The sequence below is a fragment of the Homo sapiens genome, chromosome 13 (assembly GCF_000001405.40).
Source record: "Homo sapiens chromosome 13, GRCh38.p14 Primary Assembly".
Lineage (NCBI taxonomy): Eukaryota > Metazoa > Chordata > Mammalia > Primates > Hominidae > Homo > Homo sapiens.
The window spans coordinates 40,050,411-40,074,827 of NC_000013.11; the positions used below are offsets into that span (position 1 = coordinate 40,050,411).

Sequence of the window (24,417 nt, forward strand, 5' to 3'; positions counted from 1 at the left end):
GATTTCATATTAATTATGCAGTTCTAGGTGGATATATTTGTAGATAGTACTCTTTTTTAAGTCATGATCTTGATTTCCTAACATATCCTTTTGCATGAATATTAAATTTGTCAGTCAGTAATCACCAGAAGTAATATAACACTAGTTGTGAACATCTGCCTTGACAAGGAAGATGGCAAATGTCACCATATGTTACACATGGTTATTATTATTCCAAGGCCTTATTATTGCGAACTTGTGTACCATGGGTTAAATCATATTCACAAAATTGAAAACCAGACTGCAGAAAAGTACAAACATTTAAAACAGATATACAACACAGCTTTCTTTCATAGGCAGAGAGAGAAAGAGCAGGAAATATTTAAATATATACCATTTGGAATGTATTTAATAATACTAGTTTATGGCTAAAAATCATATGATTGAAGTTTGATGAATATAATAATAATAACTGTAGCACCATTCATTACCTCTTATGTGCCCCAATTGTACTGGAACTTTCTATACTTAATCTCTAGTCCTTATAATAAGCCTTGAAAGAAAGTATCATTTCAACCTTTACAGTTGAAAAAATCATGTGTAGGCAATTGTGTAAGGTCACGCAATTAGTTAATGACAACATTAGTTTCTGAATCCAAGACTGTCTGACCTCAAAATTCATTCTCTTTCTCCTTTAGACCATAAACTGCATAAGGGCAGAGCCTTTGCCTGTTTTTATTTTCTGCTGCATTCCCGGAGACTTGAACAGAATGTAGTAAATAGTAAGTGCTCAATAAATGAAAGAACAATAGCTTGCTGTCCAAATGAAGAATTTTATCCTTGTGCGTTTCTCTACCCTTAATATCCTTTCTCTAAATCCTTAATTCCAGTTTATGATAGATAGTACCCTAAACCAAACAAAAATTATATTAATAATGATGATAGGGGAAAAAAATAATAATTAAAATGTTTAATTAATTCAAAGAAGGGCAAGAAAGGAGTAAAAAAGGAAAAATAGGATGGATGGGACAAACAGAAAATAAACAGTAAGATGTAAAATTTAAACCCAATATATCAGCAGCTAAATTTAGTAATAAGTAAACAGATTGCTCCAATTAAAAGATAAAGAATATTAGACAAAATTTAAAATTATTTCCATTTTGTTTACTTAATTTTTGAAATTCTTCCCTTTTATATCTTTTATAAAGGTGAAAATGGGTTCTCAGAAAGTTAAGAGACTTGCCAAAATTACACAGGTAATGAGTGGCAGAGTCAGGATTTGAGCCCAGCTGTCCATCCCAAGTGCTCCCTTGTGGCCATTTAACCTGGACTCAGCCAAGACCAGGAACCATTGAGCTTGGCAAGAGCTGTGTCAAGGCCATCCTTAGGGTCAAAGCCAAACGGCAGCTGGGAGTGGTGAAGGGTAAAGTATAGTCCCACCACAATAAGGAATAAATGGTCTTTGGGAATGAATAGGATTTCTGGAAAGTGTTAAGGAAGAAACTGACGTTGGAAACTGCAGACTCATGATAGAACCAATACATGAAAAATGTGTGTTTTTTTCTCTAGCATTACCTGGCAGTCCTGGTTAAGAGTGGAGAAAATGGATAGTTGACTGATTCTGGGCTTGTGTTATGCTGGAAAGTAGCAGAAGACAAGATGGACAAGGAAGATTAGGGTATGAGGGAGAGGTTAACAAGGGTTAACAAAATTTGATTTTGGATAGTGTAGGCTGGATAGGGAGGCTGCAAAGAGAGTGAGTGCAGTAGTGAAAGGACCAGATGCCTGAATGAGGCTGAAGAGCAGAGAGGAAGGGAGAGGGAGGGAGGAGAGAGAGAGAGAGAGAGAGACCTAGAAGGATACGAGCCTGCAGTCATGGAGAGTAGAATGGGTGTCCAGACCATATCTTGTTAAGGCATCCTAGAAATAAATTAGAAACAAAGGTAGAATCAGTTAGTAGATTTAATTTTGATAGTTAAATTTTGGGCAGAAAGATACAAGCCTCAGGCTGCAACTCACTTCTCATTCTTACATGAACTACCATTTTCATGAGATTCTCAAAAACTCCGATCAAAGACCATTAAAAAATTCTAAATTCCTCCAGGTAACAGATTGCTTTCTCTGAATCACTCATTTTTTTTTCCCAAAATGGGGAGGAAGAAAATAGTTAAAATTAGCCACCTTTTTATAATACATTTGCTGAAACCAATTAGTAATTATTTTTTAACATAAGCAGTTGGTGTAAGAGTGATGATAATATATTTACAATTTAAACTTAGTATCATTAATGAGATTGTCATTTCTATATGGAAGCCAGACTGTCAGAAGCTGTCCCCTTTATGACAGAGAGTTGCTGTTTTAGCTCTGGGAGGGGAATGGTACCAGTTAAAGAACTCTTAAAAAATGACCCTGCAATAACAATGTATGGCATAATATATGTTGGAAGAGCAGAAATGCGTACAGTTTTCCAAGACTTTCCATACAAAAGATTAGCAATTTTTATCCAATTAACAGCAATTAACTGTTTAATATTAACAGTTAAAGCGTATCTTAAATACCTATCAACATAAGAGTGTGGCTTTTTTACAATGAAGTATTGCCATGGGTGGAAACTCCCAGATTCTTGACAATACATGTATCTTTTTGTACTATTCTTAAATAGTCTAATATTAGCCTTTTCTCTTCTAAATTCCCATATTTGGATACAGAGTGAAACTTTCTTTTCACTTCTCATTTAATCAGCTTTGGCACCAACCCCCACCCCTTCTGTCAGCTTGATATTCAGCTTGAGTCTGACCTAATTCTGCTCAGGCAACAAACTCACTCACTTTTGGGTCAAAAATAGGAGTAAGGAGAAAGAAGTGGGAGAGGAGAGATATCAAGTCTTTCTTGTGTTAAGCTGCATTTGGGCATCAGCCTGATACATTTGGGTACTTTTTAAAATGCCATGCACAGTTCAAAGAGCTGCCTTAGTTCACATCAACCTGTGATTGAGTTTAACGCAACCCCACTCGTCCTCTCCAGGCCCAGCTACACAGAGGCAGAGTGGGGTGGAACAGGGTGTAGCGCCTGGAGTTGGTGCTTCCCAACCCTTGTGTGTATGTTCCCAATGCCCTTCCAGGCTCTGGAATGACTGCTGCTGTTGTGAGTAGAGAGGGCAGACCTTCAGCCTTGGCAGCCATTGTAGACATTGATTTCTGCTGCCTGGTCATCTCCTGTGTATCACGTGGTGGCAAAGCTCTTGCATGTTTCAGTAAACAGAGGACCGTCCTTGGGTTTCAGCTTCACTTGACACCATGCCTTTTCTCTCTGCTCACTGATGTGAGGTCTTCCAACTGACTACCATCACCACAGCAGCATGGATCTTGAGGAGTTGAAATCTCCATAATATAACTCAAATTGGGGAAAATATAGTTGAGCAATTCTTTCTATTTTGTCATTTTGAAATTTTGTTCTAGAACTTCATTCCCAATAATGGCCTCCAGAGCATAACTTGGCTTTGCTAGAGACTGTGAGTTGCCTACCTAAAGTCAATTCTCTTCTTTTTTTTCTTGCCAAAATACTGTAATTTTTTTCCCAGTTGCAGAACATCCAGCCAGAGTTTATGCTTCCCAGTCTCCCTTGCGGCTGGTTATGGACCTGTAACTAAACTCTGGAATGGGAGCTACAAGTTGAAGTATTGTGTGGAGCTTGCAGAGTAAGCTTTACATAAGATAATGATGTGGAGTGTACACTTTGACCCTTCCTCGCCCTTACTCAGTTTGCTGCCTAAAACGTTGGCACTCTCTTATCACTTGCTAGCCATGTTACTTGGTTCTTATACATTATTTTGTATTGTTTTTGCACCTATGTCTTGTTTCTTCAGTGAAAATACATTAAAAGCAAATTAAAGTCAGGGACTGTTTTTTTAAGCAACGTCACACACATGTACACACTTTGGGAGTACAGGTGGGGTTATGAAAGTAATAGACAAAGCAACCTCTGACACGAAGAAGAATGTAATAAGGATAGGACTCACCTGGTGAGAATGATAACAGAACATATACAAGGAATAAATACAGATACAAAGTAATACATATAGATATATTTTAATCTGTTTATAAAGTAGATATCTTTAACTGAATTGTACATGATCACTTTCCTTCCCTTTACACTAATATAGTTTCAGTACAGACGTTCATGCGTTCAGAACTGAAACTCTTAGAAAAGATGAGATAGAGAAAGGCCACTCACCCTTCACAGCTATAAAGAATCACTAATGCCTGGCTCCTACCATGAACTTAGAGAGGGCCCCTCATTAACCACGAACCAACAGAATCATAACCATAGAGAAGATTGTCCCCTCTCTTTTATGCATCATAAGTCCATCTCCTGCATTACAAGAACACTGGGCAAGCTGTTGAGATGACTTCTTAAGACATAAAGGAAATAATTTAAAGATTCATTACATGCAAATCCTTTTTTCACTTCGGCTTCTTAAAGCAGACATGTGCATAACTACCTTTGTAATGTTTCTATCATATACAGGAACCAAAGAAAGTGTCTACAATATCATAAGTATACTGGAAAAGTTCAATTTACCATAAAAATGCTAACACTGGTAGTAGTAGTTAATACAGTAATACTTCCATGGACCTGGATTCTAATAGAAAACATTTCAAAATTATAGCAGCATAAAAAGAATGGCATTAATAATAAGTAGAATTTATCTCACACATAATAATACAATCACAAGTCTCCTCAATTGTTTGACACTTGAAATAAGCCAAGGTCCGACTTAAATTGTGTGGCATGGTAGTGATCATTGGAAATGGGGGAGTGGTTTAGACAGTGGAACCCTCCAAAACCATCTCTTGAAGCTCATTCACTATATTTGGTAGCAAAGAAACCAGCTACCTACCAAAGATTCAGGCTTCCCTTCTACAGAGTTGTGACCAGGAAGCAGCTGCCCTGCTATCAAAGTGGGTTCACACAGCCTCAGACCTGGGCATAGGAACATGGATGGGAGTGATGTGTGTCACTTTGACCTGGCCCATGAAAACCTTCCTGTCATCTTCCAAGCTCTCTTTCAATCCCCATCACTGGCTGGAATGAAGGATCTGAGGCACTGGGGATGGTGGAACCACAATATAGAAAGAGCCTGGATCTCTGAAACACTGTGTGGAAGGCTGTTTGCCAAGGACTCACCTTACGTTGTTCTTTAATCAAAAACTAAACTTTGTTCTAAGCCAATGAAATTGGGGATTTAGCCATCACTGGAGTTAGCTCAGGGTTAATTAGAATGGCAGGCTGTGGTGTGCCAGGAACACTTTCCCCTTTCCCACTTCCAGGGCTAAGATTTCCCTACACTAATAGTAATTAACAAGAAGGTTCTTTTCCTGACTTCTCCACTTCTTTGCTCTTCATACTTTCCCTTTGGCATTTTCCCAATAATGTCTCTTTTGAAACACCTGTCAATCCATCTGAGATCAAGTCTTGGTTTTCTTCTTACAGAGGCTACTACTGCTACCAGCTGAGCTCAGGAGTGAGGGAAATGAGAGGAGGGTGGTGGGAAGGGAAGAGATGATGGGACTTGTGTCCCCTTGGGGGCTTCCACATTCTTCCTCTTTTCCATTCCAGGACTACCTGAGTCATACCAAGTCCTGGCTTTTAGTGCTCTACTGAGATCAGGAGGGAGGCAAAGTTGCAAAAGTGGCCTCTGGACTTCTGGAAAGGACAGAGCCAGTGACTTGCAGCATAAAGGGTTTTGGGACCACACAGAAAACCAAATCCTATTGTGCTTGTGAAAAGGTGGTGATTGACAAAGGGCCTCAAGAGGTCTCACCTGTAATTCTCTCTCTTTTCATTCCCTTTATGTTCCCTAGGGTTGTGCCAATGAATAATTGCCATTGCCATTCTTCCAAGGAGAATCAATTACTGTATCAATGGTAGCTGGCTGTTGCCTGCAAAATCTCTGGAATTTAGGTCATGGCAGTATTCTAGTTCTATTTCATTAAGAGGAAACTTGCTTGAGAAACATCACCAATATGAACATCTTATTGCCTTTTTTGTTGTATTCTTGGATATGTACAAATTCAGGATTCAGAATGGGGTAAGTCCATTTCCAAGTGTTTGTGTGAGCACACATGCAAATGCATGGGTGGGTTCCTATTCCCTTCAACATCAAGTGGTCTAGACTGGCACCTGAAAACTGCATCCTGGGGACTGAAACCTAGTTGATTATGGATCTCTAGAAGTATTTGAAGAGTCAGAAGTCCTTATTATTGTCATTTCTATGTCACAACTAGAGCAACATGGACTCAGCGTGAACCCTGCCTCCAACACTTAGGAGCTGTGTAATTTTTGGCCTAGTACTCAACCTCTCTGTGCTCCAGTTTCCTCTTCTGAAATATGGGAATTGTAATGATACCTACTTGATAAGAGTTATATGAGCATAATATAAGATAAATACGAACCCCTGAACACATGCTGTAGTAGTATCCCCTAATTTATATTAGCCAATGTTATTAATAATTATAAAAAGAAGACTGCATTTTCCATGGATTTTAGGTCATGGAAATATTGCATATAAATCTAGGGGATTACTATATCCATTATGAAATATCTCTGAAATCTCTTTCATTTGAATAATCTATGAATCTCTTCCAGAATATCTTCTGACATAAAATAACCGGCATTCACTTACCTACCTCACTAAGCTCTTGTTCCGGTCAAATCAGTGATACATGCAGTTCTCCTGGCCTACATCTTGGCTTCTGTCCCATACTGAAAAGAGAATAACCTTCCTGAGAGGCGAGTTTCACCATGCCCCCATCCCTGCTGGAAATGCATTAATGGCTTTTCTTCTCTAACACAATAATGAGGAGCTCCCAAGGTGGTCTCTGTGGCCCCAAGCCCACTTGTCTAGCCCTGCCACATGCCCAAAGCACTCACAACTCCAGGAATTTTGTGGCATGCCTTTATGTCTATTCACTGTTCCCTTGGGCTTGTATGCTGATCTCCATCCCCACCCATGCCCACACCCACTCTGCCTTCACCACAGGCAAGAATATTTTAATATCATTAGCATTTTCTTCAAGGATTCATTTTGAGCATCCCCTTTGTTTTGAAGCTGTTTGCCAATCCTATCCCCTAAGTAGAATTGGCACCTGCTTCTCCAGGTCCTCACTGGATTCCTCTATGCATCTGTCACAGCACTTAGAACTCTTCATCGCACTGTTTGTTAGCATGACTATCCCTGTTATTCTCCTTGTATCCACAGTGCCTAACATAGCACCTAGCAGGCTTCAGATTGAACCACAGGAGATTTCTGTCTTTATAGATATTTCCAATTTCATGTGGTTCCACTTGGAGTGGGGTGCTTAGTAAATATCTGCTGAATGAATGAATGAATAAAGTTCCACTCCTGCTGACCTACTGTCTGACAAGGCTCTTAAATGACACCATAATTTTCAGTAATACTTGTTTACCTGCCTGAATGTACATGTCAATCACCTTTTCATTTTCCAAAAGAATTTTGTTAAAAATTTAAGTTATATCTATAGGTTTTTATAAGAAAATGACAGAGACAGTTTATTAATATTCTCAGACAAAGAGAAGTTATGAAGCATTGTTTAAGACAACGTCAAAGAATTCAAAAAGCTCCATAGATGTAATGCTTTTCCCTTACTGAACAAGTGTGAAACATTGTAAGAATTACTAATTTGGCCAGGCGTGGTTGCTCATGCCTGTAATCCCAGCACTTTGGGAGGCCAAGGCAGGTGGATCACCTGAGGTCGGGAGTTCAAGACCAGCCTGACCAACATGGAGAAACCCCATCTCTACTAAAAGTGCAAAATTAGCTGGGTGTGGTGGCGCATGCCTGTAATCCCAGCTACTCAGGAGGCTGAGGCAGGAGAATTGCTGGAACCTGGGAGACAGAGGTTGCAGTGAGACGAGATCGTGCCATTGCACTGCAGCCTGGGTAACAAGAGCAAAACTCTGTCTCAAAAAAAAAAAAAAAAAGAATTACTAATTTATTCAATATATCATAATCAATCAATTTATTCTCTAGAAGCCAAATAGTTGTCTTATTTCCCATTCTCACCCCCTGACCCGGCCATCTACTCTTCTATAAATGGTTATTGTGGTTACAAAATTGGTTCCAAATGCAATGAACAAGCATGTAGCAAACAATACATACAAGATGTTTATGTCTCTCATTTCACAATACCAAGGAATAAACCAAACTACCCATTAATGATGAGATCTACTCTAATCAAAGAAGCAAAAATGGAACATATCAGAGGTATTGGGGTTTTCAATAACTGAGGTATAAGATGTCAGCTTATGACCAACTTTGTACTAAGGACCAGCTCTCTGAGATGGGACCTGACTCAACCAAAGTCAAGAAGCCATATCCCTTCTCTGATGATGAGTAGCCAGAAGCCTCAACCACAAGTGGACTGTATGACAAAATCAACAAACACAAATTCAAATGCTTACAGAGGCCAGACACACAATGGAAAGAGGTGAGGAAGGCTAAATATGAGGCACTAGACAGTGGTGAGGCACGTGGCAAAGCATCCTGTGAACAGGCAGCAGCCATTTAGTTCTAATAGCATTACCATTCTGGGCCTCTGTAGTCAGTGTTGCCAGATTTTAGAATTTTTAGAAGTTAGAAATCTAGATGTTTATGTGAAATTTCCTGGTTTTTGAAACAGTACATTTTGTACATTACACAACAGCACATTTTGTACATTATACAAAACATGACTAAAACCGAGATCCGACCTTGGGCCATCAGTTGCAACTCCTACATGAAACTGTAATCTATGATGCCTCTGAATACAAGGTAGTCAGAAAATGAAAGGAGTTCTATGTTCAGAATAGTCAGAGAAAACTCTAATTTTAAATACATTCACGTATCATTCCTGAAAATATTCTGACACATGCTGGAACACATGTCCCAAGTTTTAATCTGGAAAAGATAGCTTTGATACCTCCAGTTACCATTTTGAACCTCTTTAGAAGTTAATAGTAGTCCCACAAGGCCAAGAAAGAAAGAAGAAACAAGCCTAAATACGAAAAGGTGGAAAGCAGGTTTGAGCTAGACAGTATGTTTATTTTAGAGAATAAGGAACGTTAAAACTGTTTGAAACTTTCCAACTCTCCGTGTATTTCTTTTTCTTTCACTTGCTCATGTATTTCAAATATTAAATGCTTTTCCTCTGTTATTAAGAAAGTGTGTTTGAGTCATACTCAGAGGTCTAACCCATGATGATGACACCACATTCATTAGACAACTTCTATTCCTTTCTAAAAGTTTCGATCCAATATTAGCAGAACCTGAAAGCCTTCCAACTCACTAACCAACAGATGGCATGACCAACTTTCCCAAGAGACACGCAGCAGCACACAGGTACACACCTTCCCAGTGAGAGAATGCAAGGTTCAGCTCAGGTGTTAGACACTCAGAGAACACTTAATCAAACAACAAAACGGGTGGCAGCAGGGAGAAGAGGAAAGGTTCATTCCCTCTTCAGCTCCCACCCCCGGTTAGAAGTCCAGGGCATTTAAGGTCTACCACATTTCCATGTAGGGGTGGAAACATTATCTTTCCCTTGAAAGAAACATAGCCTTTGAACAGGAAATGGAGGGTCATCAGTTCGGGTTGGAACACACATAGAATAATAATGACACTACCTTTGCTGGTGTCAAATGTAAATTTGTTCAATAGTCCAGTGGAACAGTAACAAGGCACTTCTTCAGATGCCACCTGCTATTGAGTGTAGAAAATAACAACAAAAAAAATACCCTGTCGACTCACCCAAGTCAGATAATTACACGGACTGCAAAACATTCAGGCACGGAGCTCTGGAAACCTTTTAGGGGGTCCTTTATCATGCCCTGCCTTTTCCAGAATGAGACTAATTTGCTCCTATTTCAGCCAGCTCCAGCAAAGAGAGCGGGTAAAGGAGAGAAAAGAGAATGAATTGTCAGCATTATTGAAAAGATTCATGGTTAGTCACACTCACTCCAGGCAAGTTCCTTGCCAGACACCACACCACTCATTAGCAGACCTGAGAACTGGCGTGCCTCCCACAGCTGAGCAACAGCCTTGGGCCTGGCAGGTCCCCAGGGACCCACAAAGCCCTATGTTCTCCCACACCCTGCAATGAGAAAGACCAGTTTGGGCAGGCCTGGGTGCAATTGGCTCCCCAGATGCTAAGTAAATCTGTTCTATGCCCTGTGCTGCTTCAAATATAATTATTCAGGTGCTCAGCTGGTGTGGAAATCAAGGTAGCATCTCTTCAGGGTACACTGATGCAGTTACCTGATGGGGCTGCCATTTTCTCCCCAGGTTCCCTTCGGAAGACCCAAGAGATGGTCGTGTCTACAGTTTGTCAGCCTGTATGTCCTCATTTCCAGCTACAGCTGTGAGCTGCTGATCTTCCTGGAGCTGGAAACATTTATTTCCCTTGTGTAATACCAGCAATTTTAACTTAGATTTACAGTGCTTACCACTGAACCATTTGGGGCATTAAAGACTAATTCAATTCATTTGCAAGAGACAGGGTGGGCTGTAGGAATCATTGATGTCAATATCCACAGCAATGGGGAAACTGAGTCTGGGAGGCAAAAGGACTTGCTCAAAAGTGTAGAACAAAGAAGAGAAGCCAGGTCTTTGCTTTTCTATTCAGTCTCATCCCATTTCTTGGAGCTACTATCTCACAGAAAAAAAAAATACCATTTCTAGTTAGGACAGCAAACCGGTTACTCTTTACTGTATGAAAACACCATTCTCAGAATCACAACTCCCTAAAGTTCAGTCAAAACTTCCCAAAAAAAGCTGGCTTCTGTTAGAATGAGCTGCGCCCTCCACTGGGATCTGAAAGCAAAGGACAAGGACTAAGTCTTTGTAAACAATCACAACAGACACTGACCATGGTGAACATCATCCCATACGTCAGAGTAACATGCCCTCACATGGGTTCTGATGGAGAAGAACAGCTCCCCCATGCTGAGCTCTGCCATCCCTAGCATCAAAAGTACCATATAGCTGGATGCCAAAGCTGGTACTATTTGGTACATACTGATATGCATATTAGCTTGGATTTATGACACCTAGAAAAAGTGATCCTGGCCCTAAAATAAAATTCAAGTCCAAGAACGATCATTAACAATGTAAGTATGACTCAAAGCACTCAGACTACATGTCTTCACTTGGACTACATGTCTTCAGGTTGAAGACGCTTCACCCTGGCTTTGCAACAGAGTCACCATGATGACCCAGGCAAGTGTGGGATGTGTGGTAAGGGCTTGGGAAAATTCCTGTGGGTTTTTAGAGTTTTCATAATTCCCTGAAAGGCTGCTAGACCCAACTGCTTCTAAAGGAAGCATGTGGGCAAACTCAGAGATATGGGTGAAGGACATTCTGTGTCAATGGACACCGAGTACTGGGCCAAGAGGCCCCTGCTTATCTGTGTTCGTAGTTGGTCTACAAAAGAGTCACAGCTTCCCTCTTCCTCCTTAGCAGGGGGAAGTGGGCCTGAGGGAATGTGGATCAGCCCAGCCAGTGCCTGTTAACAAGGTGGCCTGAGGAGTGGGTACTGCCCCCTTGTCTTGTATCAGTCCTCCAGTCTCTGCCATTGGTTGTGCTCCTGAGTGAAAAGAGGCAGAGCCTAGGACAGGAGATAAAGTTAAAGGAACTCTTCACTCGATCCTAGAAGGATTTTGCTTATGAGTTGCTCAGATCTCCTACAGCCTCCCCCACCCTCACGGGTGCTAGGCTGGTAGTCAGTATTACTACTCTTGACCATGGCACCCAGCTTAACTCTATCATTGGCACTGCAAATATGCCCTGGACTACCTCCGGAAGTGTCTTGGGTGCATGCCAAGAAAACATCCCTCACCTTCTCACCTCCTATTTTTGCATTATTTGCTTTCAGAAGGGAAGTGATAAAAATGGATAATAGCCACTAATTTTTGAACAATTTTTCCAGGTACCACTCTAAGTGCTTTAAGTGTGTTGATTCTGTTAGTCCTCTCCACAACCCCATGAGGAAATAGTCTCCTCATTTGCACATGAGGGAACTGAAACACAGGGAATTAGGTAACCTACAGTAGCCGTGCAGCTAGGAAGTGGCAGAGCTGAGATTTGAACCCAGAGCCCCATGTGTCCAGCCACTATACTGGTTAAGAAATGATGATATGATTCCGTGTAGACACAGGTTCTGTGTATCCAATGTACTTGAGAGTATTGGGGAGCATTTCTCCCTCTTCAGTGACATGAGGACACATCTATAAAGGCAAAGGCAATTTGAGAAAATAAGGCCAAGGGCATAAAGGTCAAGAAGAAGGGCTTTGTGATCAGTTGGCTTAAGTCCTATCTTGTCACTTACTAGCGATATGACCCTGGGCAGGCTGCTCAGTCTCCTGCAGCCTCATTTTTCTCATCTCTAAAATGGGGTTAATAGGACGCTTAGCTCACAGGATTCTTGAGAGACCAACAGGAATGGATCCATGAAAACAGCAGCTGGCCAACAGTAAATGCCGAGTAAATGGTGGTTTCAATTATTATTAAATATGGTGAGGTAACGAGCAGTTAGGATAAGATGAAGTTGAAGAAAAGATTCCAGGTCGACATTATCTTCTTAGTTGTCAAATTTGTCATAGAGACTTATGAACCATAAGTAAGAAATTTCTCTTAAAATGGTAATCTTGGAAAATAGCTCCCTTTCCTCTGCTTGCTGCTGTCACTACTTCTGCTTCTTCTCTTCTCCCCAGGATTTGGTAAATAATTCAGTTATCATGTCACAGCTCAACCTGGCAGCTCCACTCTGAGCTTCAGCCACAGCTATGCCCACTTCTCTGTGGGTTTGTGGGAAAGGTGCCCCTGGGCAACTGTGGCAAAGGATTCAGTCACTCGTGTGAGTGCTCGGGAGCAGGCACAGCTCTGCCCCATCCCTTCCAATCAGCATCATCTGCACCGTGGCTGTTCCTCACAGCTTGGCAACGTGCTGGCAGGTCGCTGGCTGGGAGCCTGCATTCTTCACAGAGGTCCTGTCATTATAATAACCATATTTTCTCTTGTGGTGAAGAGTAATTGAATTAAATTGGGCAGCATTTGATCCTGACCATACAAATTGCCTGATCCAATTGAGGCCTCTGTGAGGTCACAGGCAGGAAGGAGCAGAGCAGTGAGACAGATGTCCTCGTCCCGTGGGCCTGGCTGTTGGGTTCTTCTATCAGTGCACACCCAGAGACCCTCCTCTTCCATGTAAAACTCTCTGCAGGGAGACGGGGTTCTGCAGGCTGGGGAGAGGAGGAGGGGAGTCCCCAGGCATGTGGGGAGCACAGAAGAGCTGGCAGAAAGCAAAGTGTGACAGATACTATGAGCCAAACATATGGACATGCAGATGTTTCAGCAGGAATGGATGGAAGCACAGGGTGATTGGGTGACACCTGGAAGTAGGAGCTTAAACAGTACTGTGTGGAGTGGGAGGAGCAGGGATCAGGGACTGGAGTGAAAGCTGGCAAGTCAGAATTCAGAGTTTTGTGCTGGTGACATCTCATACTGTTCGTGGTTTAAAAGTCACATGTCTTTGGCAAACAAGCAGCCCAGTAGTCTTTATCAAGAGTAAATTATGTGGGTATTCTGCTTATCTGAAAGTAAATAAGAAACACAGATGCCTGCCTTTAAATGTCTAACTAGCTCTATTTTCCCTTCTTTCCACAGATAAAATTAAATATAGACATCAAGATCTAAATGTATCAGTGGGTGCACAAAAGGACCCCAGGAGGGGGAAATGGAGAAAATTTCAGGTGCTTATGCCTTCACGCACCCTTTTCTCTGCCATCCTGCCCTCGTCTTCACTGTCTGCCCACTGAGACCTGGGGTCACTGCTCACTTTCAGACAGGAAATTGAAAGACCTTTGCAAACACTTGGTCCCATCCCTCTCAACTTCCATTTCCTAATCCCCAAAGGCCAACGTGGAAATAAAAAGATGCTTTCATGTTGAAGGCACCTGGGAATCAGGCTTTGCTTGTAAAACACTGGCAAGGTTGGCTTCCACCCTGAGAGAAGCACGACCTCTGTCACTTCATCCTGGAGGTCCCCCTTCCTGGCTGGCTGTTCATGAGTCATCGAGTTACTAGACAGAGAAGAATACTTTATTTTGTCTGGTCACTCAGGGCATTCCAAGAAGCAAAAAGTGTTGGGATGTTGAGGACAATAAGTGACAGCCAGACACAAGAGCGTAGCAGGGTAAAAATTACTGTCCTCCTAAGGAGCTCAGACGATATGGCTTCTGGCCGTGTCTGTTCTCATATTATTGCTCCAGGAGGAGGTGGTGGGAGGATTTCCCCTTCATTTATATTCAGAAGGTTTATTCTGTGTGTGAGGATAAGAATCTGTGGGCTGAGAAAGAAAGGAAGTCCTAAAAACCCAATAATTTTTAAATTATGGGTTATGACACATTAATGACTCCCAGGATGGGGAAAGTTTCCATCAGGACATATGATTCAGCCTCATAAGAGAGCCCAATGCCTCAATATACACCAATTTGGTTGCCAACCCAATAATCCTCTAGAGTCAAACCAACCCTTTCCAAGTGAGAGCTCTCCCAAGGGATGCGATGAGTCACCATTACAGTATTGACGGAGCAAAGGAGGCAAGTGTGCTGTACTACCCAGAACTAGCATAAGACTTTAAGATGAAAACTTAAATGAAGATGAGGGATAGACGAGTCTACCAAAGGTGCTCTGGCCTAATATGATCTTCTACACATGACTTTGTAATAGTAGTATAGACTTTATATCTGCACATTCACATTCTTGAAAAAAGGTTATCCCTAATTGTGTGGCCACTGTTTACTCTTTCTCTTTTATAGGCCTTTAAACTAAATGAAAAGTAGTTTAAATCTAGTGGTAAAGCAAGTAGGTGTATATAGTGCGGGCAAGAAATCCCCACAGTGCAATCTGGCAGACCATAGTCAACTCTCTAGGGCCGACTGTAAAACTCAGCTGGTGCTTTCTTGGTCTCTTTTACCAGCTTTACTTCCTGCATGTTCCTCAGTTATGTTGATGTTCTGCAGGTTTGTGACCTTCTTCTCCCCTCACTCCATCCACCCTCCATGCAGGAGTTTATTAACAGCTGTGGAGGGTTTCAGCTGCCATACACACACTATGTGTATTAGTCAGGTTTCTCCTGAGGGACAGAACTAATAGGATATATATATATATATTTTATATATATATATATCCTATATATATATCATATATATAATATATATATCATATATATCAATATATATATTTTATATATATATAATATATATATCATATATATCAATATATATATTTTATATATATATTATATATATATATATATACACACACACAGAGAGAGAGAGAGAGAGAGAGGAGTTCATTAAGGAGTATTGACTCACAGGATCACAAAGTGAAGTCCCATAATAGGCCGTCTGCAAGCTGGGGAGCAAGGAAGCCAGTCTGAATCCCAAAACCTCAAAAGTAGTGAAGCCAACAATGTAGCCTTCAGACTGTGGCAGAAGGCCAGAGAGCCCCTGGCAAATCACTGGTGGAAGTCTAGGAGTCCAACAGCTGAAAACTTGGAGTCTGATGTTCAAGGGCAGAAGCATCCAATATGGGAGAAAGATGAAGACTAGGCAAGGGGTGGTGGCTCATGCCTGTAATCCCAGCACTTTGGGAGGCCAAGGTGGGTGGATCACCTAAGGTCAGGAATTCGAGACCAGCCTGGCCAACATAGTGAAACCCTGTCTCTACTAAAAATACACACACACACACACACACAAAAATCAGCTGGGCATGGTGGCGCGTGCCTGTAATCCCAGCTACACAGGAGGCCGAGGCAGAATCACTTGAACCCAGGAGGCAGAGGTTGCAGTGAGCCAAGATCAAACCTTCAGCCTGCACTTCAGCCTGGGCAACAAGAGCAAAACTCCGTTGAAAGAAAGGAGAAAGAAAGAGAGAAAGAGAGAGAGAGAGAGAAAGAAAGAGAGAGAGAGAGAGAGAGGAAAGAAAGAAAGAAGAAAGAGAGAGAGAGAAAGAAAGAAAGAAGGGACAGAGGGAGGGAGGGAGGGAAGGAGGGAAGGAAGGAAGGAAGAAGACTGGAAGACTCAGCAAGTCTACTATTCCATCTTCCCCTGCCTGCTTTATTCTAGCCACTTTGGCAGCCGCTTAGATGGTGCCCACCCAGATTGAGGGTGGGTCTGCCTCTCCCAGCCCACTGACTCCAATGTTAATCTCCTTTGGCAACACCCTCACAGACACACCCAGGATCAATACTTTGCATCCTTCAATCCAATGAAGTTGACACTCAATATTAAACATCACACTCTGGAAATGCTCAGCTCCAGCTCCTGAGGTCAACACTCTCTCCTAAACTTCAGTTCATTCAACGAACATTGATGGAGAACCTGCCAGGTAACAGGCCCCGAGCTGGGCAATGGACACAGGGAAATGAATAAAATGTGATGTCAGCCATCAAAGCTCACATATGATTTTATGTCCAACTACCTACTGACTTTTTCACTTGAACCTATAGTAATAATAACAACAATAATAAACCTTTTAAAAAAATCTGCTGCCATTTGTTGAGAAACCTGCCAACCTGCCTCATGCTGGCTGCTCAGTGTAAAGCACTCTCTGGCCCCCAGAGCTCACATGCACGGCCTTCTGCTGTGCTTTCAATGTTTGTGTCTTCTCCAAAACTCTCATGTTGGAACTTCAACCCCAATGTTATGATATTCAAAGGTAGGGCTTTTCGGAGGTGATTAAGTCATGAGTATAGAGACCTCATGAATGAGATTAGCAATCTTACAAAAGTGCTGAAGGGAACTAGCTAGGGTTTTTTTGTTGTTTGTTTGTTTGTTTGTTTGTTTGTTTTTAACCCTTTCACCTTCCACCATGTGAGGACACAGTATTTTTTCCCTCCAGAGGACGCAGTAACAAGGCACCATCTTAGAAGCAGTGACCGAGCCCTCACCAGACACTGAGCCCACTGGCACCTTTATTGGACTTCCAAGGCTCCAAAACTGTGAAAATTACCCAGTCTTAGGTATTTTGTCACAGCAGCATAAACAGACTAAGACGCTTTCCTCACTCATAGGCCAGGTAAGGCTTGGGTGTAATATCTCAGTACACAGTCTCATCCTAGCTAACAGCCAGACTATGACAAGTGGGCAGGAACCAGGCCACACGTCGATAATGATGTGTTATGGTTTTAAGATTATGGTGCTTCTCATCTGACTTTTCTATTTATGATAAGAAATGTAAGACGTTGATAGATGATAATTCAAATTTAAAGTAAAAATGTCTTACTATTGCCCTTTTAAACTTCCAGAACAGTTAAGGGCATTTAGAGATTGCAAACTGAGTTTTTTTTTTTTCTTTTAAAAACTACTTTTTGCAACTAGTTCTCAGAGTGAATCAGAATATTCTCAATAGTATATAATTAGAAATATATATAAATATATACATATATATAAAATGGAAGTTGGGTTTGTCACACATATGCCCAAAATGTTGTATTAATTAATACTTCTTTATTGATCTTATTGATTCATTCTGTAACCGTCATAAATTTGAACTTACAAACTAAATGTCTGTTAACAAAATGCTGCTTTTATTTTTTTTTCATATGCTGGAGTTTTCCATGAGATTTTGTTGGGGAAAAATATATGTAATGCTGAAGAAGTTTGAACACCGTGGAGCAAACCTAAGGATTTAGCTGCACAGGCAAGGGCCTTCCAGCACTGGCCCCGCCTGCCTCTTCAGCCTCAACTCCCCTCTCAGAACCCCTTACACCCTGAGGAGCAAAATCACCAGCTCTCCCTCCATCTGAGCCTTTGTTTAAACATGTTGCATCCTCCTCTGGAATGCACTCCCCCTCCTCACCTCCCATGCACCCCCTTGAACGTCACCCCTAGGAAGCCATCCTGACCTCTCCAGGGATAGGGTCTGTGTTCCCACGTAAATGCTCCTCCAGCACTTCCCACCATTGATGTAAATTTTGCTTGCATGTCTGAGTTCCTAGATGGGAAGGGCAGTCGCTTATTGATATTTATTTACACAGCGGCTATTCATTACCTGGCTCATAATATGTGCTTAATAAATGTGAATTGAATGAACAAATGAATAATTTAAATAACAACCAGGATTTAGTCCTTAATGGATTTGAGCTTCTATATTTCTAAAATGCTCATGGCTGACACTGAATGCATACTAAGTATCAGGAACTGCCCTATTTCTACGAATTTCTTCTTTAATCCTCAAAAACAGTTCTATGAGGTAGGTAGTACAATTATCATGCTAATTTTTCAGATGAGGAAAATGAAGTACAATGAGGTGATATGACTTGAGCAAGTTCCCCAGCTAGTAAAAGGCACAGAGACACTTGACTCTAAGGAGTCCACCATTGTCCTCTACGGGATGCACCGTACTGCTTACACAGAGAAGCCTACATGCAATAGGCCTTCCTTTCCTCTTTCCATTCTATTTACTTGCTTCTTCTTTTTTTTTTTTTTTTTTTTTTTTTTTAGATGGAGTCTCACTCTGTTGCCCAGGCTGGACTGCAGTGGTGTGATCTTGGCTCACTACAGCCTCCGCCTCCCGGATTCAAGCGATTCTCCTGCCTCAGCCTCCTGGGTAGCTGGGACTACAGGCACGCGCCACCATGCCCAGCTAATTTTTGTATTTTTAGTAGAGACCGGTTTTCACCATGTTGGCCAGGATGGTTTCGATCTCCTGATGGGTTTGAAAGTTATGCATGTTAGAATTATGCCTAAGATAAGCATTAACAAGATTCTGAGATGGCATTCTTTGAGTAAAGCATAAACTTTAGAACATGTCTTCTCCTTTAGCAGGACTGGGGCCTTGTTTCTTTTTGCCCTGGTTTTTGTCTACCTAGGTTGGGCTCTGGACACTGAGGGGTCATGGTAGTCCTCAGTCTTCCCTGACTCACCGCTGGGTGGCAGTACACCACACTTCCTTTATTCCTGCTCTTTTATGCGTGCGTGTAGAAGTGGGAGCTCTGCTTTAGGGACCACTCTCCAATTCTCAATCTCCTCTTTTGCTTTTGATGTAAATTATCTCTTACACTTTTAGGTAATAGCAAATATTGTTTGTGTCTGTTTTTATGCACTCGTTTAGAATGACATGGAGCTTTGCCAAAGTCAAACGAAGCACATTTCATTAGACCATTTTCATGGGGAGGTTTTTCTTACACAAAATTATCTACAATTAAAAATGCAGAGAGATTTTCCCCGTGTGGCACAGCTTTTTAAAAGACAGAGTCAAAACCTTTATCGAAAAAGCAATTTATAATGCCAGTAATTTTCTACCTCTGTCCTGCTATTATCAAGGACAGCAGTTTTAAAAGAACTGGCTCTGGTCTCTCTGCTCAGCCTGTCGTGCTCACGTAATGGCTTGTCTGTAACTTCAGCCCATTGCCATGGAAGTCATTATGCCACACGCCCAGAAGGGTGATTTTCTACAGCATCAAAGAGGAAGCAACTGGGTTCAAAATGAAAAACAATCTCTATACATGTGAGAGAAAGAAGCATGATGAGGTGGGAAGGACCCAGAGAACACGATTTTATGTGAAAGAGTGCTATGAATGCAAGTTTTCAAATAGAATATTATCAGAACAAGACAATAATAGTTGAAGTGAATAAAATAATTTTCCTAATGGCCTGTTCCTTCTCTCAAATTTTCTACCATAACACATGGTTAGAAGGTCCCAAATAAATGGCCCTTTACAGCTTCTCTGACATTTCTGGTAGCAAACATTCCAAGTGAATAATTTTATTTCTTTCATAAAATCCTGGAAGGGAATCACAAAGCTGCCTGGCTTTAGATGAGGTCTGGGTCATCTCGTCCATACCTCTGCCTTCAGGAAGGTTCAAACTTACTTTCCTAAGCAGATCAGACTCTACACTGGGAGATACCATGAGCTACTTTTTCTGAGGCCAGGGGCAAAGTTCTCTCAGTGTACTGAGTCAAATATTTTGTTAAGGAAGGAACTTGGGATCTGGAGTCAGGGGATTCCAGTGCAAGCCTGGGCTCCAGGGTTTGCCCACCCTGCAAACGTGGACAAGTCACGTGACATCCTTGTGTTCAGGTTGCCTCATCTTCAAAACCGGAAATAATAACCTACATCACAGGGTTGCTCCAGTGGTCAAGTGAGACAATGGATGTGAAAGGGCTTTGTCAACTGGAAAGTGCTCTTCAAATGTCACTTATTATTATTGTTCTGCTCAGTCCATTCATTTTTCTCTGCATGAGTTGAAGAGTACAGTCCTTTACCATTAATCTGCTCCCATGGAGAAGATGTTGGCTTCTACCTGCGTGCACTGGCACCACCAGCCTCCGCAGCCTGGGAAGGAGGTGTAATCTGAGGAGGAAGGAGGAGTGTGAGACCCATGTGTACAGCAGCAACTTCCTGCCTCCCTCCCAGACAACCTGGATCTGTGCACTTGTGGCAACTCAGTAGGGGTCTAGTGTTAGAATTGTGGGGTGAGGGACAGGAGATCTGGATTCTGTCACTATCTGACCGTATGACTTTGGGTTATTTCTTCACTTATTTAGTAACTCATTCAAAATAAATAGTGATTAGAGACACAGGGTCTTGAGCCAGGCAGTCTGAGTTCAAATCTTGATTTCCCCCAATGACTTGAGAGGTGATCTTAGGATAAATACAAACACAAGCCAGTACTTACTGAGCAATCATGTATGCAGCACTGTTCCAAAGGCATGATAGATATTAACTCAGATGATCTGTGCAACAACCCTATGAAATTATCTCAGTTATTACTCCCATATTACAGATTATGAAACTGAGGCCAAAGTGCTTCAGTAACTTGCCCAGGGTCACTCTGCTAGCAAGTGGCAATCTTGCACACCCATCACAATTATGCTGAACTCCTTAAAGAAATGTGCCAATATATGTGAGTACTCAGAGCGGTGTCTGCTACACGGTAAACACTCCATGTTAGCTATAATTTGTTGTTTATTAAGGACTCATTATGTGTCAGTAACTTTGCTAGGTGCAAGGAAGATGCACGAGCCTCCAGCCCCACCCCTTAAAGATCACAGACATTTTTATTTCTTATGGTTCTGGGGATCAAATCAAAAAGGCAATGTATAAAGATGGAGGTGTGCTTTTGAAGGTGAAAAGAAAATACATTTGGAAAGCAGAGTTATCATGACTTTATTTTATCAGAATATGACATAATGTCCAAGTAATAAGAAAAACTTAATTCAAGAGATGCCTTATAACAACCTTCTGGTTGGAATACACATCACCTGGTGCTGTGGCAAGTGTCTAGAACCTGCTCTGTTGGCCAAAATACCATTTTGATTTGTAGTTCTTAGATTTGTAGTGTCCTATTGACTCCAGCTCTGCTGTCATAACTCTATGCTTGGTTATTTTTCTCCAGAGTAGGACACTTAGTGCAATATGAAATGTCTCTTTTCCAAGACTTCCTGACCATTCACCAAACTATTGGTGAACTCTTTTAATCACCCAATCAACATATATTTGTTGAACACATACTATTTGCAAACCCTATTCTAAGGGCTAAATTTGCTGATGCTTTCCTGAATTTGTATCTATAGTTCTGGATTAATTCTGCTGTAATTTTTGTATTACAAGGATCACAGAACAAATGCAACAGGAATTCATTCTTCCTTGTATCTCCAAAGTGCCCTATAGAAGAAAATTGAACCCAAAACAGTTTGTGAAGAAATCAAGGAGCACCACGGTTCTTTTAGCACAAAAGGCAAATTTCTGAGGGAGGTAAGGTCATAGTAACACGATGTTAATCTGATTTTCACAGGCATTTCTTGACCACCTATTCTGACCTAAATTCTAGAATATGATATTTACCAGATGTGCTACCTGTACCTTGGACAAGTTACTTAACCTTTCTGGACTTTAGTTTCTTTATCGTTAAAGTTTGGAAAAAAATAAAATACTTGTAAACACTTAGAAACCCCTTATTACTCCATCTAGTCCTCTTAAAAGCGCTGTGCAATAGATGTTGTTCCTTTTTTGCATTTGCTAGAACCAAAGCTCAGTTTCATGACTGGAACGGCCTACCTAAGTTCTCAAAGGGAGTAAACAGCAAGTGGAGACTGAAATTGTTTCTTTATGACAAACATTTCAAAAGCCTGTGCTCTTTTCCCTGGACCAAAGGCCCAGGACAAGGAAGAATTGCGGTTGGAGAATTTAAAAGCTCAAGAGATAGGTGCCAGATTTTATTATTATTCAACTCAATTGTCCTTATCCTAGTTAGTCGGACACTCTGGCCCCTGAATTTCTTGGTATCTGTGTTTGCAGGTCAGTTCTCAGAGAACTTCTCATAAACAGTTTCAAAACAGAAATGCTCAATTTCAAAGGTAAGCAAAGCCAAATTGACTTTGAAGTCAGAAAGTTCCGTTCCCCCTGTTCCATAACATGCTTTGTGTGCTAGAGGTCAAGTTTTCCCAGTTGATAAGGGGGCTTAACTGGAAGTTCTCAGAGCAGGAAAGCAGATCCGGACGGCCACAGAGGTCATCAGTGGAGGGATGGCCCTGAGAGGAGGGCTTTATCTAAGTTAACTGGCCACTGGGAGTCAGGCAGGAGCAAATGCATTCTCTTTCTGCCAAAGGTTACACACCTAGGGTGGCAGCTGACACCACTGTGACTGCTTCTAACTATGGCACATGCGATGAAGAGATGATACCAATATTTAGGTAGCAAATGAAACTCAGAAACTTCCTTTGGGAAAGGTGGTGGGTTTTAGTGTCTTTAGGTTCAAAATGGTGTCTTCCACTCTTCCTCCTCCTCCTCCTCCTGTTCCTCCTCCATTTTCTTTTCATTATCCATTCTTTCATAGAACAGTAATCAATCTATCTAACTCAAAGTCTGTTCTTTCATATATCTGTGTTTAAATTTTTTTTTTTTAGACAGAGTTTCATCTTGTTGCCCAGGCTGGAGTGCAGTGGTGCGATCTTGGCTCACTGCAACCTCTGCCTCCTGGATTCAAGCGATTCTCCTGTCTCAGCCCACCGAGTAGCTGAGATTACAGGCACCTGCCACCACGCCCAGCTAATTTTTGTATTTTTAGTAGAGACAGGGTTACACCATGTCGGCCAGGTTGGTGTTTGTAATTTTTTATTTCACTAAAACCTCATAAGATATACCTTACACCAAGTCCTACCAGGTACTACTAAAGGTGTGCATACATTTTCTGCCCCTGTTTAATATACTCACTTCAAGAAATTGTATCTCCTTTGGGTCCTATTCATGCCTGTCCCAGCAAGGTGCTGATGAGTGGTCCTACCTTATTACGCTACATGGAGTTAAGCATGTTGGAAGGGCAGCCAGGAAGTTTCAAGAGACAAATCTGGGATAAATACCTAATGAAGTTAGAATAAATTACTATATTCAACGGTAAGAGGCACTTAGGATAGTCCACAAAGGAAAACTATAACAACACTTTAACTTGTTTTTTTAAATTAAAAAAACAAACAAACAGGCAAAACCACTATGAAAAGAATCCACAGTCGAGCAGCATGGAATGGAAAATGCAGCAAAAAATTAGCCGGGTATGGTGGCTGCCCCTGTAGTCCCAGCTACTCCGGAGGCTGAGGCAGGAGAATCCCTTGAACCCGGGAGGCGGAGGTTGCAGTGAGCCGAGATCGCGTCACTGTACTCCAGACTGGGTGACAGAGCGAGACTCCGTTAAAAAAAAAAAAAGAAAAAGGAAAATGCAGCAAAATGATGGTCCTTACCCCAGTCACTTTCCAGTCTTCCTCCTGGAGTCCCTGCTGAGAGAGAGGAGGGCAGTTTGGGATGAGATGTGCAGAGTTGCTCTAAGCCTGGCTGCTCCAGAACCCAGCCACCCACTCAGGGACCCTTCTGCTCTTAGGCTGTGGCAGCCCCAGCCTTTCCCTGAGCTGTCCTTGGCTTGCCATTTTGAGAGTCAGAAGAGAAACACTCCCTGATCACCCAAATGGTAGCCATGCCTCAGTCAGGCCAACAGGACCCCAGGAGCTAACATGAAGGCCACAAGCTGTAGGCTAACCCTGACCTCCCTTTGTGCTCAGAGACCGCAGGCCGTAATTCTCTGTGTGAAAATGTTGTGTAAACTTGGCAGCCATTAGCATATTCACCCACGGCCTCCTTGTCAAAATGATTGCAGTCCTTAGAGCCTTTCCTGGGAGCCTTCTTTACTAATCTCTGTGGTTCCCCTCTGAGCACTCCATAGAAAATGCTTTCTTCTTTGATAATTCAGGTCAGATTTGCAGAAGCCAGATTCAGAGAGGGCTTAAGTAATTTTCCACATTGGCTGCCTTTTGTGCTCAAATTTAGCTGAAAATTGCTTAATTCTGTGCTCCACTCTGACTGCATAGATTTAGCTGAAAATTCT

General features: G+C 41.7%; 2 long non-coding RNA genes across 3 annotated transcripts, besides 2 other annotated features; one reads left to right on the plus strand and one right to left on the minus strand.

The window, feature by feature from the left end:
- Positions 8,663–8,852: an enhancer, noted in NCBI's record as "active region_7600". NCBI's record gives its function as "activates an Ori minimal core promoter by ATAC-STARR-seq in GM12878 lymphoblastoid cells {active_cell/tissue: GM12878}" and the evidence as "EXISTENCE:reporter gene assay evidence [ECO:0000049][PMID:35858748]".
- Positions 10,099–10,228: an enhancer, noted in NCBI's record as "active region_7601". NCBI's record gives its function as "activates an Ori minimal core promoter by ATAC-STARR-seq in GM12878 lymphoblastoid cells {active_cell/tissue: GM12878}" and the evidence as "EXISTENCE:reporter gene assay evidence [ECO:0000049][PMID:35858748]".
- LOC105370171 (uncharacterized) lies at positions 13,159–13,988 on the plus strand. Of its 2 annotated transcripts, none has more exons than XR_941894.2 (2): positions 13,159–13,240; positions 13,700–13,988. It is a non-coding gene; the product is annotated as an uncharacterized LOC105370171 (long non-coding RNA). The 2 variants fall into 2 exon arrangements; XR_941895.2 differs by having other exon boundaries at positions 13,200–13,410.
- A 6,286-nt stretch (positions 13,989–20,274) lies between these two features.
- On the minus strand, positions 20,275–24,188 carry LOC107984569 (uncharacterized). Its single transcript, XR_001749970.1, has 3 exons — positions 24,161–24,188; positions 23,780–23,815; positions 20,275–20,396 (listed from the first exon to the last, which is right to left on the minus strand). It is a non-coding gene; the product is annotated as an uncharacterized LOC107984569 (long non-coding RNA).
- Positions 24,189–24,417: the final 229 nt, after the last annotated feature.